Source organism: Homo sapiens, chromosome 5, assembly GCF_000001405.40.
Source record: "Homo sapiens chromosome 5, GRCh38.p14 Primary Assembly".
Lineage (NCBI taxonomy): Eukaryota > Metazoa > Chordata > Mammalia > Primates > Hominidae > Homo > Homo sapiens.
The window spans coordinates 68616792-68634942 of record NC_000005.10 but is presented as its reverse complement, the minus strand read 5'-3'; the positions used below and the strand labels follow the sequence as shown (position 1 = coordinate 68634942).

The window sequence follows — 18151 nt, the reverse complement described above, 5'->3', positions numbered from 1 at the left end:
CTCAAAGAAGCTTTTGCAACTGCTTATTATGGCGCCTTCCCTTGAAAGGGCTCCATATTTTTATTCAGTTTCATGTTTTTGTTGGCCTGGGGTCACTTTGGCTAGAAGTTTCTGCCTTTTCTTTAGATTGTTTTCTGGAGAACAAAGTCATCCTTTTAGCTCTCTTTACAGAAGTCCCAGGCAGGCCCCTGGCTGTAGTGGGCCCTGGAAGCCTCTGTAACCCTTCCAATATTCTCCTTTCTCTTTGGTGGAGAAGATGGTCAGAATGGCCAAGGATTTACTTACTACCCTTGTGAGGATATTTATCTGAACCAGTGGTGATTTGCATTAAAAGGAGCTAGTAGAAATCACCCTAAGAGGGCACCCTCTATATTATCTCCCTTCCATCTTTTTATAATTTCTATTCCCTCAGACTTTACCCATCAACCAACACCATGCCACCATGTGAGTTTATGACAGCCAGGTGACAGGTCACTGTAGAGAAGTGAGTGCTGATTGGGATGTGGGTGTTATGCTGGCAGAGATGGAGACGTCACCAAACACCAAAGACATCCAAGAGCTCTCTTTTATTGGTGATCATCCTTTTATGCTTCATTCTGTTCCAATTTGAACTAGTGGGCTTCCATAACCTCACTAGAGTCTAATCTTGAAAATTCTAAACTTAACTCTGGAATTTCAAATTCCCTGTGTTTTTTCCCATTGCTGTATTTACTTGGCCCCAGAACATATCCTCTTTGTTTTTTACCCTAGACTTCAGAACTGATTTCCAATTTTGTTCTGTCCAGATAGAAGGCTTCAACAGAAAGTCCTTTCTCTTGACATCAACAAGCTTTGATAAGATAAATTATTCACAACTATTCTGGGAAAACTTTTTTTTTCATTATTATTATATTTTAAGTTCTGGGATACATGTGCAGAACATGCAGGTTTGTTACATAGGTATACATGTGCCACGGTGACTTGCTGCATCCATCAACCCGTCACCTAGGTTTTAAGCCTCGCATGCATTAGGTATTTGTCCTAATGCTATCTCTCCCCTTCCGCAAACCCCTACCCCAGAACAGGCCCTATTCTGGGGAAACTGTTATCTTAAATGGCAAGAATGAAAAAAATGACATCTTTTTCTAGAACATCATGTGTGAAATAGAAAATATAAGCAGTTTCTTGCATTTGGAGTGCAGTAGAAACAATATGAGAAGGACTACTATGGGAATGTAGATAGGTACAAGTTTTCTGAAGGGCAAAATGAAAAAACATTTGAGGGATCTTAAAAAATATGCTTATCTACAAATTTTCCTTGTAGAAATAAGTGAAAAGGCACTAAATATTTATTTATAATGATTGCATTGTAATTAATATAACCCAAGTGCTCCACATGAGAATTAGATAAATACCAAGTGAAATCATTTAAAACTACTAATGTAAAATTATTGAATCATATAAAATGTTGACCTACAAAGCAGCATTTTTATATGGTTCAACATAATATATTGTGGGATGTTCATATGATAGACTTCTATGCAAGTATTGACAATCGTATTTTTAAAGAATATATAAAGCTTATAAATAAAATGTATAAAAAAGGTAGGATATAAAGGTAAGTATACATCATGAGATCTCAATTTTATTTTATTAAAATACATGTTTGCGTATGTATGTACCTACATGAACTAAAAAATGACTGGATGAAAACATGCTGTTAATAATAGTTCCCTGGGTGATTGAATTGTTAATTTTTGTTTACTTTTGTCTTTATATTTTCTGTCTTTCCCAAAATTATGTGATTATAATGTATTCATATTCTGTATTTTCTCGTAAAGTCATATAGTAAGCATTTTCCATGTTGTTGCATACTCTTCAAAATAATTTTAATGGAGTCACAATAAACTAGTCACTAGAAATATGTTAATTTCTTAAATGTCTGTAAATGGTAGGTTTTTAGACTAATCTTTTCTTTTTTCCTCCCTTCTGTCCTTCTTTCCCTCTCTCCCCTCCTTTTTTCCTTCCCTCTCTCCCTCTTTTCTTTTTTCCTTCCTCCCTCCCTTCCTTTCTTCCTAATATAAACAGTGGAAGATCCTCCCTGTATTTTGGATTTTTCCATGAAATATATTCCTAGAAGGAAGTCACTGTTAGGCATGAAGAGGGCAGGGTGAGAATGACCTGGAAGCTAATGTTGCCCATGTGCTTCCCAGGAGTCTCACCCCAGGCCCCTGTCCTGCTTTTGAAGTACTAGAAAGATACTGTTCTAACACTGTTTCTTGTTGTTAATGGAAACATTATTATTTCCTACAGTTCTGATTCCAAAGCAGCAGCATTTTAAAAGCTCAACTCAGGTGGAACAGCTTAGCATTTGCAATTCCTGCTAAACCTCAGAGAAAAGCTTACTGAATCAGATAAAAACATTGCCAGTCTGTCAACACACATAACTTCACAGTTTTTGTTTTTCTTCTTTGTTCCAGTAACATTTCTATAACTTGGGCTGCCCAGGGCTTGCTTGGCATAAACCCACCTGGAAGCTCACGGGTAGAGGGGTTCACAGTAAGAAAATGTAACTGCTGGGTACCCAGAGCCCTTTCATGTGTGAGAAAGTTCTGCTTGCAGGGTGGCAAGGATCAGGATCAGCATGTGCTTTCTATCCACTGGTAAAACGTGGATTGGAGAAATACTGCCTTTTCCTTCAGAATGCTTTGGTGTCTGGACACATGACAAGCCTCAGAAGCTTTGATCTTACTTTAAACTGGTCTCCCATCTTATTTTTATTTGAACAGAGTTTGTGGCAGTCAGAGGATACATAAGGGTGGCGTCCTTTGACCTCCCTGATGTTTGGGAGGTAAACCACCTCCATCCCTCAGACCAGGAATGTAGTCATGTGAATTGATATCTGCAGAGTGCCTGACACAGCTGGAGGGCTAGGCCAAGCCAGCTACAAAAGAACTTGAGGTGTGGGAAAGTTTCTTAGGGCATAGTAATAGCTGTATGGCAAAGCCGAGGATAAAGTTGCTACTGTCTGCTTGTTCATTCACAAGTACTTATTGAGCTTCTGCTATATATTGGGTGATAGGCTGGGCCTGCAAATAGCATAAAACTATTAACTATAGAGTAAAACAGCCTTCCTGCTTTCAAGGAGCTCATGAGAATGAATGAGACAGGTAAGTAAATGGATCACTTAGAACCCAAGAGAGATGGTGATGCAAGAGGAATGAAGAGAGCATTGCAGGGACGTAGAGGAAAAGCGCCAGGATCGAGGAAGCTTCCAGAGGAGGTGAGGCTGAGTTAGGAGTAAAAGGATAAGTGGTGTGTTGCTGCCAGGTGGTGGAAGGAGGGGAAGAACATTCCTTTCCATGGAGGGGCAGCCAGCATGGCAGGTCTGGGGTTGGGGGTGGCTTCTCTCTGAATGTGGCCCAAATACTGTTGACTGTCCCCAGACTGTGTCAGTGTCAGGTGCCTTTTCAGCCACTGACAGTGAGGTGTGGCTGCCTTGTTTGTAGCCTTTGATAGAAGTGTAAGAGACTACGTTCAAGAAATAAACCAAAAATATCTGAATTCAATGGCTAGTAGGTACTTTCTGTTACATCCAGATCTTTTTCTTCTTCATAAACTTTTAAAAGAACAATAACGCAATTATTTCTAATTATGAAGCCAACTCATGGTTATCATTAACATTTCAAGCAACACATAAAAATAGAAAGAAGAAAGCATCCCCCAAGCGCTTCAACTTAGAGGTCACCACTGTTAACATTTTGTGAGCATCCTTCCATATACCCACAGAGAAACACTTCTATAGAAATGGCATGCAGAGCAGTTTAACAGGTGTATTGTGCCAGGGCTGTGCAAAGCACTTGGCAAATAGCAATGAACACAAAAGATAGGGGCCCTGATTAGTGAAGTTTCACCTTCAGGCTTAACTTAGGGTAGACTCCCGCAAAGGTAAAACTGATTGCAAAAACCCATGTGGAGTTGGAGCCCTTCCCATTATAGGGCCTTTGCACAAGCTAGTTTCTCTGCCTGGATTGGTATCTATTCCCAATAGGTATAATTCGATGATATATATAATTAATGAAAGTATGTTTTCTGCTGTATGGTTAAGGCATTGATTCATTATTGTTTTTAATCAATGACATATTGCTAGATTTTTAGCTTGTTTTACTTTTTTCTATTTTAAACAATTCTGTTGCAAATATCCTTTTATATACATTTATCTTAGGATGAATTCCTAAAAATGGAATTATGAGATCAAATAATATGCACACTAAGTTTTTGGTACATGTTACCAAATAGATGCGGCCCTTCTGAAAGTTTCTATCAACAGTATACAAAATACCATTTTCCATGTCCTCTCAAACACCAAAAATCCTCTGTTTATAAAACCTTTGACCATCTGATGAAACTTTACTTTTATTTGTTTGCTAGTTATGTTGACCATTTTTCCTTTGTTTATTCATCCTTTGTATGTCTTCTTTTGTGAATGTCCTCTTTCTATCCTTTGCCTATTTTTTTCTAATGAGATACTGGTCTTTTTCATATTAATGATTTGCAAATGCTCTTTGTATATGGTATTAAGAGCATTAATGCTTAGACTACAATACATGTTGCAATTTTTTTCATGTATCATTTGACATTTTATTTTTATGTTGTCTTTTTGCCATAGAGATGCTAAAATAAACAAACAAAATTAATGTAGTCACATCTAATCACTTTTTCTTTTATGGTTTTGTATTTTTATGTCATCTTCTTCAACCAGTTCTTATCATAGGGGCAAATGGAAAACTTCCCCCTTGCCGTCTGAAGATTTGCTAAAAATCAACTGACAAAAGACAGATTAATAGAAGAAAGGGTATGCAAAGCTATTAATGTGTGTGGGAGTCATATAAAATAGAACTTAAAAAATGTCCAGATGGTTGATGCTTTTATACCATCTTGAAGTTCCAGAAAGAATGGGGGTTTGGTGAGTGGCAAAACATGTATGGGACGGGAAGAGGAATCCTTGCTAGCAAAGGTGGTCTTGTTATGTAGATGAAACTTCAAGGTAGCAGCTCTCAGAGAGGATAGGTGGTGAATGTTTCTTTCAGATCTTGAAAGATGTCAGACTCTCAGTTCATCTTTCCTAGGTCTGGTTGAGAGAGGGCCCTCAGAGAAAGCCTGGCTTCCTCAATGCGGATTTTCTCTACAGATGCAAATCTCCCCCAAAAAAGACAGCTTCGCAGGGCTAATTCTGTTTGCTGGCTCTCTGAACAGCCATCTCAAAATATGTCCAAGAATTATATTTTGGGGTAAAATATTTTGTTTTCTTTCATTATAATATTGTCTTATTGTGCCTGACTGAATTTTAGGCTTCGATGGAAGCCAGATGGCTGAGAATACATTCTAATAAGACAGGGACTGTGTTGGTAAAAAATGAGAAAACATCTACAGTATATGTCTGAGATCATCTCTGTTTGCTTATTCAAAGGCATGATTTTATCTTTTTCCCCATGGTTTGTGGGGTCTCCATACTCTGGTTCTGGGACAATCTGAGGGCAGGCATATGTAAGAGGGCCTTCCCACAAACACAAAATGAAGAAAACCATCTCTTCTTTAAGAAGAGAGTTCCCTGCCATTGCCAGTGTGGACAGGACAGTACTAAGGACTGAACTGAGCCCAAGTAGCAGGCAAAGGCAAATTGACGTGAAAGTTAAAATCCATTTTAAAGAGCTAACGTAGAATAGCCATCATTTCTTAAATGTCTGCTCTGTGTTCTCTGAAGCCTTGAATGATAGATAATCTTGTCATGTTTTACATATCTCAAAAACCAACCAACAAACAAGGCTTATAGAGGTGAAATTATTGGACCAAGTACATATAGTTAGTACGTAGGAGAACTGAGATTTAAATTCTGATCTCAGCTGAGCCAAAAGCTACTAACAGCAGCAAAAAGCTACTATTGTTGAATATACACCTTGACAGGCTTGTGCTGAGTGCTTTACATATATTATTAATAGCTCCTTTAATATTATACCCACCATTGGAGGTACACATATCTCTTTTAAAGATAAGAACACTGAAGCCCAGAGCAGCTAAGTAGCATGTCCAAGCATTATCAGAAAGCAGTCTCGATTCAGACCCTCAAGAGAGGGTTCTTGGGTCTCATGCAAGAAAGAATTTGGGGCATAAAGTAAAGCGAAAGCAAGTTTTTTAGGAAAGTAAAGTAATAAAGAATGGCTACTTCACAGCCAGAGCAGCCCCAGGACTTGCTGGTTGCCCATTTCTATGGTTATTTCTTGAGTCTGTACTAAACAAGGGGTGGATTATTCATGAGTTTTCCGGGAAAAGGGTGGACAATTCCCAGAGCTGAGGGTTCCTCCCCTTTTTAGACCATATAGGGTAACTTCCGAATGTTGCCATGCCATCTGTAAACTGTCATGGCACTGGTGGGAGTGTCTTTTAGCATGCTAATGCATTAAAGTTAACATATAATGAGGCTTGAAGATAACCAGAGGTCACTCTCTTCACCATCTTGATTTTGGTGGGTTTTGGCTGGCTTCTTTTCTGCAAACTGTTTTATCAGCAAGGTCTTTACGACCTGTATCTTGTAACTACCTCCTATCTCATCCTGTGACTTAGAATGCCTAACCTCCTGGGAATACAGCCCAGTAGGTCTCAACCTTATTTTGCCCAGCTTCTATTCAAAATGGAGTTGCTCTGGTTCAAACACCTCTGACACAAGGTCACACAGCTAGTAAGTTGTAGAATCAGGAATTGAACCAGGACATTCTGACTTCGATCCCTGTGCTTTTTCCTTCATCCAGGTTTTTTCCTTCCTTTTTATTTTAATTTTAAATGACAATACCTTTGTTATTCTAATTATGAAGTGCTCATGCTTATTATTAAAATTTCGAACTATACAGGAAACAAATTGTTGTTTCTACCACTTCACACCGCTTGCTCCCAACATGTTTTCTGAATTAGCAATTCTTCTTTAGGAGAATTTGTCACCTTTTTTCTACTCCCCCAAACCCCACTTTGAAGGTTATGTCCCTGTCTGTTATATATTCTTTCTGAAAATATATTTTTTGGGTAACTACTAAACAGGGAATAGGAATAATTTATATAATTACCAGGCAATCTTGGTATTGTCAAGCGTGACCAAGGTACCTAGAAAAGTTAATAAGTGAGTGATTGTTTAATTACTTAACTACTAATGATGCTCCAGGAATTGAACCATTTGGTTTTGCACCTGAACCTTTTGTATTAAGTTGATTGGAAATAACCTGTGAGGCAGAAGAGTTTGGACTTCAAAGGTCATTGCATTAGGGTCACCGTTATTGATTCTACCGTGGGGTTATGCTAAAACATTGATGGGGATATTGACCAGCTAGTTATTTTAATGCATCCTCTTTTTAGTAGGCCTGGGTAGTACAGTGAGTGACAATAAATAAACAAATAAATAAGTAAATAAATTTGTGCTTTCCAAAGCCTGCCCCCAAAGTATGACGTTTTCTGTGATCTGCTTACATTTTCTTTTAATTGCAACCTTACTAGAAAAACCTTACTAGAAAAGCTTGGCCACACATTAAATTTAAGTAATAAATAATGAAAATCAGATTTTGGAAAATCTTTTGATGCATAGAGATCATTTGTGTTTGGGCATTCTCCCCACTTCTTTTCCTAGCGCGCACACACACACACACACGCACGCACGCATGCACGCATACCCCAACCACCCCCATAATGTCTCCTTTCCCTCAACTAATTGGTTTGGAGATATTCAGCAAGAACTGGGGCATGAATAATTCAATGAGAGTTATTAGAAGCAACAGTAAGGAAATATTTTTTCCTGAACACATAGAAAAAGTTTCTCATTATGAGAGCAGGGCCTCTGAGCAGTGTCAAAATCACCTGGAGAGCTTATTAAAAACGGATTGCTGGGCCTTACCCCTAGAGATTCTGGTTTGGTGGGTCTAGGTGAACTCTATGAATTTGCATTTCTCTCACGTTCCCGTGTGCTGCAGATTGTGGTGGTTTTAAACTATGGCCACAAATTCTTCAATACTTCTTTGAGCTGTTCTATCCTTATGCCTCTGCTTCTCTACCCCTCCCATATTCAATTACCAATAAGGCCTGCAGATTTTATCCTGTAAATGTTTCTCATACCTACTGACTTCTTTGCACCACCATCATTGGCCAAATCCCTTCATCTCTCACCTGAACTGTTGTTAATTATGTCTATTTACTTCCATGCCTCTAATACTGCCCCTACCTTACATCCATCTACCACTCTGCAGACAGTGTGATCACCTAATACTAAAATCAATAGCCTCATGCTCTTCTTTCCTATGAAATTCTCATTCATCATTTATTTATTTATTTATTTATTTATTTTTTATTATACTTTAAGTTCTAGGGTACATGTGCACAACATGCAGGTTTGTTACATAGGTATACATGTGTCATGTTGGTGTGCTGCACCCATTAACTCATCATTTACATTAGGTATATCTCCTAATGCTATCCCTCCCACCTCTCCCCACCCCACAACAGGCCCTGGTGTGTGATGTTCCCCTTCCTGTGTCCAAGTGTTCTCATTGCTCAATTCCCACCTATGAGTGAGAACATGCAGTGTTTGGTTTTTAATACTTGTGATAGTTTGCTGAGAATGATGGTTTCCAGCTTCATCCATGTCCCTACCAAGGACATGAACTCATCATTTTTTATGGATGCATAGTATTCCATGGTGTATATGTGCCACATTTTCTTAATCCAGTCTATCATTGTTGGATATTTGGGTTGGTGCCAAGTCTTTGCTATTGTGAATAGTGCCACAATAAACATACAGGTGCATGTGTCTTTATAGCAGCATGATTTATATTCCTTTGGGTATATATCCAGTAATGGGATGGCTGGGTCAAATGGTATTTCTAGTTCTAGATCCCTGAGGAATCGCCACACTGTCTTCCACAATGGTTGAACTAGTTTACAGTCCCACCAACAGTGTAAAAGTGTTCCTATTTCTCCACATCCTCTCCAGCATCTGTTGTTTCCTGACTTTTTAATGGTCACCATTCTAACTGGTGTGAGATGGTATCTCATTGTGGTTTTGATTTGCATTTCTCTGATGGCCAGTGATGATGAGCATGTTTTTCATGTGTCTGTTGGCTGCATAAATGTCTTCTTTTGAGAAGTGTCTGCTCATATCCTTTGCCCACTTTTTGATGGGGTTGTTTGTTTTTTTCTTGTAAATTTGTTTGAGTTCTTTGCAGATTCTGGATATTTGCCCTTTGTCAGATGAGTAGATTGGAAAAATTTTCTTCCATTCTGTAGGTTGCCTGTTCACTCTGATGGTAGTTTCTTTTGCTGTGCAGAAGCTCTTTAGTTTAATTAGATCCATTTGTCAATTTTGTCTTTTGTTGCCATTGCTTTTGGTGTTTTAGTCATGAAGTCCTTGCCCATGCCTATGTTCTGAATGGTATTGCCTAGGTTTTCTTCCAGGGTTTTTATGGTTTTAGTTCTAACATTTAAGTCTTTAATCCATCTTGAATTAACTTTTGTATAAAGTGTAAGGAAGGGATCCAGTTTCAGCTTTCTACATATGGCTAGCCAGTTTTCCCAGCACCATTTATTAAATAGAGAATCCTTTCCCCATTGCTTGTTTTTGTCAGGTTTGTCAAAGATGAGATAGTTGTAGATATGCAGCATTATTTCTGAGGGCTCTGTTCTGTTCCATTGGTCTATATCTCTGTTTTGGTACCAGTAGCCTGCTGTTTTGGTTACTGTAGCCTTGTAGTATAGTTTGAAGTCAGATAGCATGATGCCTCCAGCTTTGTCTTTTTGCTTAGGATTGTCTTGGCAATGCATGCTCTTTTTTGGTTCCATATGAACTTTAAAGTAGTTTTTTCCAATTCTGTGAAGAAAGTCATTGGTAGCTTGATGGGGATGGCATGGAATCTATAAATTACCTTGGGCAGTATGGCCATTATCACAATATTGATTCTTCCTACCCATGAGCATGAAATGTTCTTCCATTTGTTTGTGTCCTCTTTTATTTCGCTGAGCAGTTGTTTGTAGTTCTCCTTGAAGAGGTCCTTCACATCCCTTGTAAGTTGGATTCCTAGGTATTTTATTCTCTTTGAAGCAATTGTGAATGGGAGTTCACTCATGATTTGGCTCTCTGTTTGTCTGTTATTGGTGTATAAGAATGCTTGTGATTTTTGCACATTGATTTTGTATGCTGAGACTTTGCTGAAGTTGCTTATCAGCTTAAGGAGACTTTGGGCTGAGACGATGGGGTTTTCTAGATATACAATCATGTCATCTGCAAAAAAGGACAATTTGACTTCCTCTTTTCCTAGTTGAATACCCTTTATTTCTTTCTCTTGCCTGATTGCCCTGGCCAGAACTTCCAACACTATGTTGAATAGGAGTGGTGAGAGAGGGCATCCCTGTCTTGTGCCAGTTTTCAAAGGGAATACTTTTAGTTTTTGCCCATTCAGTATGATATTGGCTGTGGGTTTGTCATAAATAGTTCTTATTGTTTTGAGATACGTCCTATCAACACCTAATTTATTGAGAGTTTTTAGGATGAAGGGCTGTTGAATTTTGTTGGAGGCCTTTTCTGCATCTATTGAGATAATCATGTGGTTTTTGTTTTTGGTTCTGTGCAAATGGAAAACAAATGAAGGCAGGGGTTGCAATCCTAGTCTCTGATAAAACAGACTTTAAACCAACAAAGATTAAAGAGACAAAGAAGGCCATTACATAATGGTAAAGGGATCAATTCAACAAGAAGAGCTAACTATCCTAAATATATATGCACCCAATGCAGGAGCACCCAGATTCATAATGCAAGTCCTTAGAGACCTACAAAGAGACTTAGACTCCCACACAATAATAATGGGAGACCTTAACACCCCACTGTCAACATTAGACAGATCAACAAGACAGAAAGTTAACAAGGATATCCAGGAATTGAATTCAGCTCTGCACCAAGCAGACCTAATGGACATCTACAGAAGTCTCCACCCCAAATCCACAGAATATACATTCTTCTCAGCACCACACTGCACCTATTCCAAAATCGACCACATAGTTGGAAGTAAAGCACTCCTCAGCAAATGTAAAAGAACAGAAATTATAACAAACTGTCTCTCAGACCACCGTGCAATCAAACTAGAACTCAGGATTAAGAAACTCACTCAAAACTGCTCAACTACATGGAAACTGAACAACCTGCTCCTGAATGACTACTGGGTACATAAAGAAAGGAAGGCAGAAATAAAGATGTTCTTTGAAACCAACGAGAACAAAGACACAACATACCAGAATCTCTGGGACACATTTAAAGCAGTGTGTAGTGGGAAATTTATAGCACTAAATGCCCACAAGAGAAAGCAGGAAAGATCTAAAATTGACACCCTAACATCACAATTAAAAGAACTAGAGAAGCAAGAGCAAGCACATTCAAAAGCTAGCAGAAGGCAAGAAGTAACCAAGATCAGAGCAGAACTGAAGGAGACAGAGTTACAAATCACCCTTCAAAAAATCAATGAATCCAGGAGCTGGTTTTTTGAAAAGATCAACAAAATTGATAGACCGCTAGCAAGACTAGTAAGGAAGAAAAGAGAGAAGAATCAAATAGACGCAATAAAAAATGATAAAGGGGATATCACCACCAATCCCACAGAAATACAAACTACCAACAGAGAATACTATAAATACCCCTACACAAATAAACTAGAAAATCTAGAAGAAATGGATAAATTCCTCGACACATACACTCTCCCAAGACTAAACCAGGAAGAAGTTGAATCTCTGAATAGACCAATAACAGGCTCTGAAATTGAGGCAATAATTAATAGCTTACCAACCAAAAAAAGTCCACGACCAGATGGATTCACAGCCGAATTCTACCAGAGGTACAAGGAAGAGTGGGTACAATTCCTTCTGAAACTATTCCAATCAATAGAAAAAGAGGGAATCCTCCCTAACTCATTTTATGAGGCCAGCATCATCCTGATACCAAAGCCTGGCAGAGACACAACAAAAAAAGAGAATTTTAGACCAATATCCCTGATGAACATTGATGCAAAAATCCTCAGTAAAATACTGGCAAACTGAATCCAGCAGCACGTCAAAAAGCTTATCCACCACGATCAAGTGGGCTTCATTCATCTTTTAAAATCCACTTAAGAAATTACCTCCTCAAGAAAGCCTTCCTTGTACCCCCAGCTTGACTAGATGGCTTCCTTCTCTTCTACATATTCCCTGTGCATACTTTTAAATTAATTTCCCATTTATTGAAATTGTGTGCAGTGGTTTTTTTCCATTAAAATGTAAGTTCCTTTAGGCAGGAACCATAGCTTACTGAACTTCCTATCACAGCCTCCTAAGATAGTAACATAATAGTTGCTTAATAAATGTCAGACTGCACTAAGCAGTAATGCTGGATTAGGCAATGAGGACATGTTGGGCATTCATTCATTCAACAAATATTTATTGGGCATTTTTATGGGAAGAATTGTGCACTTCCACCCACCCCCCCAATTCAATGTTTTGAAGTCCTAAATCCCAATGCTTCAGAATGTGTATTTGGAGATAAGGTCTTTAAAGAGGTAATGAAGTTAAAATGTGGCCATTACAGTGAGACCTAATCCAACATTGCTGGTGTCTTTATAAGAAGAGAAGATTAAGACACAAGCACAAGGAAAAACGCCATCTATAAGCCAAGGAAAGAGGTCCCAGAAGAAACCAACCCTACTGATACCTTGATCTCAGGCTTCTAGCCTCTTGAACTACGAGAAAATAAATTTCTGTTGTTTAAGTCCCCCATCTTTGGTACTTTTTATGGCAGCCCTAGCAAACTAATACCAGCACCTGTTGTGTATCAGGTGTTATTCTAGGTCATGGGGAGATTTAGATGAATCCTGTATATAAGGTTCCTGCCCACATGGAACTTGCAATCTGCTAAGTGTCTCTTATATGTGAATGACTATTTCATTAAACACAATAAACAGGCTCCCCCACGTCCCGCCATGGATGACACAACCAAACACCTGCTTTCAAGGAATTTGTAACATAATTGCAGAGATAATGCTTAACATGCATAGTAAAATGAAGAGACAATTCAAGACCAACTTTATTGAGGATAATTTCTCTTTAGGGATACTAAAATGGGGTGAGATTGTTTAGGACAAAGTATATGGGGACATGTCCTAAAAAGATTTCAAGGAGGTAGAACTTCAGAAAGGCAGGGCTTAAATCAAGAGGAACCGAACCTATTATCAGGGGAAAGAGCAGCATGAGCAAAGATATGGAGGAAGTTAGCCAGATACCTTCATGGGGTGGAGCGGAGACTGTGGCAAGATCATCTGTCATAATGTTGAGAGTTAGTAGCAGTAATTGCCGCTATTCTCGCATATTTTCTGTAGCAAGCACTGTGTTAAATGCTTTATTTATAAACATTGCCTCCTTTTATCTTTAAAGCAAAGCTACAAGTAGTTATTGTTTTCAACATGCAGGTCAAAGCCCAAGATTCAAAGCAGTAAAGCAATTATCTATGGCTATTACCATTTATTTGTTAAAAAAATGAAAGAATAGATGATACCTACCCAATAATTGGTAAAAAAAAAAAAATCTTTTGGTAGAGGAAATAATAAAATGAAAGCAATCAAAAACTTGATCTGGTGGCCATTTGTAGGATGATACAGATCAGTGGTTCTCAAACTTGGCTGCACATTAGAATTGCCTGGAGGGTTTTGAAAAGTCCTGATGCCCAGACTGTATGTACTCCAGTTCCCAAGAACTTTACTAAAAATCTCTACTACCTCAGATCTTTCCTATCTCCTCCTCTCCTATATACACACAGCCCTAATAGCAGTTCCCTCCACCTCTTCTATTTTCATTACAGTTATTTTTATTTGATTTTGCCTATTTCTCCATATCACACTCACTGTCTTAAAAATATGGTGCCCAATATGTACTTTCCTCTTGTAACAAATCTACTGAACACTGTTCATCTCTTCATTTGTGTTAACAGATTTAGAAGCAAGTCTCTTTAAATTTTCTCCCAGTTTTTGAATATATGTGGAGAGCATCTCTCTGTCTCTCTCCAACCCCCATCCATCTAATTATGGTACTTGCAAGGATGGGCACCTCTGGTATTTATTGTAAATATGTAAACATCTCTTTTTAATTTACTGATGTCTCTGCATAGCTACTTGATCTCTTACATCTATTGTAAACTTCTATTTGTCTGTCTGAGTTTGCTTCTTCTATCCACTGAGTTCCCCAAGGGTCAAGAGCCACACGTTTTATTTACCCTGAATATCACCTAGTCGTACAAAGCAACTTCACAGGTAGTAGTAAATATGTTTTCCAGAAAGATGTCAACAACTTCTTGTACCAAAAGAAAGGCTAAGGGCTTGCATTGCCTAGCTGAGCATATTAGATAGAGATTCAGTGTAAGTTTTCAATTAAGATGGAAAACACAGCTGGCAGGGTGAGAGTTGTATTTTTTCTTTAGCCCACCAAGGCTAGGCATGGCCAGATGCTCTGTAACAGGGAGGGGCACAAGTGCTTTCCGAGCCTTTCCATCTGTCCTGCAGCACAATGATTCTGCCTGAGTGATTCATCTTACTCCATTTCTACTTTCCTACAAGGCAACACAATCAATCCTCTTAAACAGTGGTTCTCAGATCCATTACCCCAGGAGTTCATACAGACTGAAAATACAAATATGGTTAGGAAAAGTTTAGATGAATTAATGTAAGGCAGGTCTATTGACTTGTGTTTTGGAAGGGAAAGGGAGGTTTGGGATGTGTTATTCCAACTCCTGCATCTATCTCCCAGAGCAACCCTCTCTTAACAAATGACTGCTTGGCCCTGTTTTTGGAAATGTCCAACTGTATTTTTTACTTGTTTCAGGGGTACGGATATGCAGGATTGATTCTACATCCATCTGATACAATTTCAGTCTAAGATGCTCGTGGGTCAGCAAATGACTCTGCCCTACATGTGGTTGCTGAATCCCTAAAAGAAACAGAGATTTCAGAAAATCATAGAGGTGTCTCTTGTTCTGATAGTCCTTAAGTTACTGGCCAAATACATAAAGAAGCGAATTTCAAATCAGAGTTCTACAAATGCCTAATAAACTGCTGACCGAGGAATCTGTGATTGGTTTTATCAATACCAACAGGAAAACCACAGGAGAACCTGAGGGAACATTCTGAAGAAGATACCTAATTTTATAGCTAAGATGGTCATCCATTCTTTCACTAAGAAGAATGGAAACACAGTTTGCCGTCAGATCCTTCCATATTGCCTTTCCAGTAAAGCGGAGAGGACGATTTATAATTTCTCTTAAGTGTTCATTTTAGGCCTTGTTGTTTTACTTTTCAAAAATGTTCCAGACATTGCAAATAACTTAGGAAGAGTGAAGGATGACAGATCAATTAGCTGGGAAATAAAAAATGAGAAGACTGGGGGACATTGGTACTGGAAAATTTCACTTACCTGGGCAGCTAGGATCCAGGGGAAGCTGACGTTGAAGAGAGGATAAATACAAAGTGTTTCCTGGTGCCTTTAATAATGTGGCAATAGAAAGAACAAGCTAAGGAAATTCAATCAAAGGCAGGTAATAGCAACTTCCCATTGCTTTAAAAAGTAATAATAACCACAACACACTATGAGATAAAGCTCCAGGAGAAACAATAAACAAAAGAGAAGAAATGCACCCTTGAGACTTGGGGTTCTAAATGGCAATAATCACTTGCCAAAGATTATTGTGTGACTATTAACCACAACTATTCCTTTGGCCATCCAGCAAGAGCTGAGGAGCATAAGGGCACCAGAGATTCATCCTGTGTGAAAGGTGAGGTTGCAACGCTCAAATGCTCATGAGGCCTGAGCCCCATCACTAAGCTGAAAAGCATTTATTTTCTTAAAACTGAATTATCGAATTTGGGAAGGGGCACAAGGGGCTGCCTTATTAGGAAAAAGGATTCATAATTCTGGATTTAGTTAAGTAGCGAACAGTTCTCAATATGCTCTGAAATTGGAAAAATGAAATGCTAATTTTGTAAGGAAATCAACTCAAAACCAGGAACAGCAAATGTCATTATGATGTTCAATTGAATACATTGGTCATGAATGCTGACATAATTGAACGGATGCAGATAGGCTGCAAAATTATACGTTTCTCTCTAAGTTTGCATGGCCTGGTTTATTATTTTATTTGAGTGAGTCATGGCAATGTATGGTCTTCACACATCCAAAGCCTTCCTGAAGCCAGGGTGTGCCCACTAGCAGGCAAGGCCTGTTGCAGCATTGAAATGAGTTACTAGCTTTTTTTGCTGCCAAATAGGGGATGATTTTTCCCTAGATGTAGAATAAGCAGTGATAAACTGCCCAGTCTGAGCTTTTATTGTGAATAAAAAGTGAAAACTACTTAATCATGAGGCAACCCAGTATTTTAATAGAGGATCCAGGCAGTTTTTAAAAAATGACCCTATGGCATAATGGAGAACTTGATGCCATTGCTGGCAATTATGGTCCAGAGAGGGAAGTAGTGAATAGGCTGAAAGATGCTAAATGTAAAGGTTAGGGATGACAGTTATTTTTTGGATTATATTTCTCTTTTAGGCTATTCCCTTTGGGATTTTTTTTTTCAAAGCTGGTGTTATCAATTTAAGCTTTAGCCCTGCCATCAAAATTTTATGAAAGACTCTAGCTCTGATAAAATTCTTATATTTATTCTCGTTTGTTCTACAGAGGAGTGGAGTGGATGGAGGGTAGAGAGGTTGCTTATAGTCAGATCCCGAGTTCGGCCAGATATCTACTCGAAAGCCACTCAGATTGTACAAGTTCACATGAATGTCACTGATTCATTTTTAACAACTTTGTGTAGGTTGACATATACAATAACTGCATATATTTAAAAATACATAGTTTTCATACATTTTGATATATTCATATACCCATGAGACGATCACCATAATCAAGACAGTGAACATAGCCATCACCCCTAAAAGTTTGAGTCCTTTTGTAATCCCTCCCTCTCTCCCCTCCTCACCCCACCCTCCATTCCCAGGCAACTACTGATCTGTCACTACAGATTAATTTGCATTTTCCAGAATTTTATAAAATGGAATCATATTTATTCCTTTTTGCCTGGTTTATTTCCCTCAGCATAATAGTTTTGAAATTCACCTATGTTGTTGTATATATTAATAGTTCATTCCTTTCTATTACATTTAATGAATATACCAAAATATGTGTATCCCTTTTCATTGTAGGTAGTATTCCATTGTGTGACTATACCAAAATTTGTTGATTTATTCACCTGTTGATAGACATTTGGGTTGTTTCTATTTTTGGCAATTACAAATAAAGAGCCTAAGGACATTTATGTACAGGTCATTGTATAAACATATTTTCTTTTTTCTTTTTTTCTTGCAGGTAAATATCTGAGTGGAATGACTGGATCATATGGTAGGTATATGTTTAATTTTAAAATGATGATATGTTATATTTTTCTTTTCATTGAGTTCAGAATATGTTAATATTTCCCTTGAGACTTCTACATTGTGTGTGCACATATTCATATACTTTACATTGATACACAAAAATATACATATTTATGGGGTACATGTAATATTTTGATACATGCATATGATGTGTAATGATCAAATCAGGGTAATTAGGATATCTATCACTTCAGAGATATATCATTTCTTTGTGTTGCAAACATTTCAAATCTTCTAGCTATTTGGAAATATATAACACCTTGTTAACTATAGTTGCCTTACTATTCTGTTAAACACTGAAACTTATTTCTTCTGTCTAACTATATGTTTATACCTATTAACCAACTGTTCTTCATCTCCCCATCCCCCTCCCCAGCATCTGGTAACCATCTCTTTACTCTATCTCCTTGAGATCAACTCCCACATATGAGTGAGAACATGCAATATTTGTTTTTCTGTGCTTGGCTTATTTCGGTTAACATAATGATCTCTGGTTCCATCCACATTGCTATAAATAACATGATTTCATTTTTTATGGCAGAATAGTATTCCATTGTGTAAATATATCACATTTTCTTTATCCGTTTGTTGGTTGATAGACACTTAGGTGGATTCTATGTCTTTGCTATTGTGAATAGTGCTGCAATACACATGGG

The 18151-nt window shown here is 38.1% G+C and overlaps 1 long non-coding RNA gene across 3 annotated transcripts in view; it reads left to right on the top strand.

The window, feature by feature from the left end:
- LOC105379013 (uncharacterized) overlaps window positions 1-18151 on the top strand; it is a 406546-nt gene that overhangs the window by 197915 nt on the left and 190480 nt on the right. For 2 of the 3 annotated variants that reach the window (XR_007058804.1, XR_007058805.1), the window contains one exon: window positions 17428-17460. This is a non-coding gene — a long non-coding RNA (uncharacterized LOC105379013). Of the gene's footprint in view, window positions 1-13615; window positions 15842-17427; window positions 17461-18151 lie in introns of those variants that run through there. The other variant, XR_007058806.1, reaches the window with a different exon arrangement.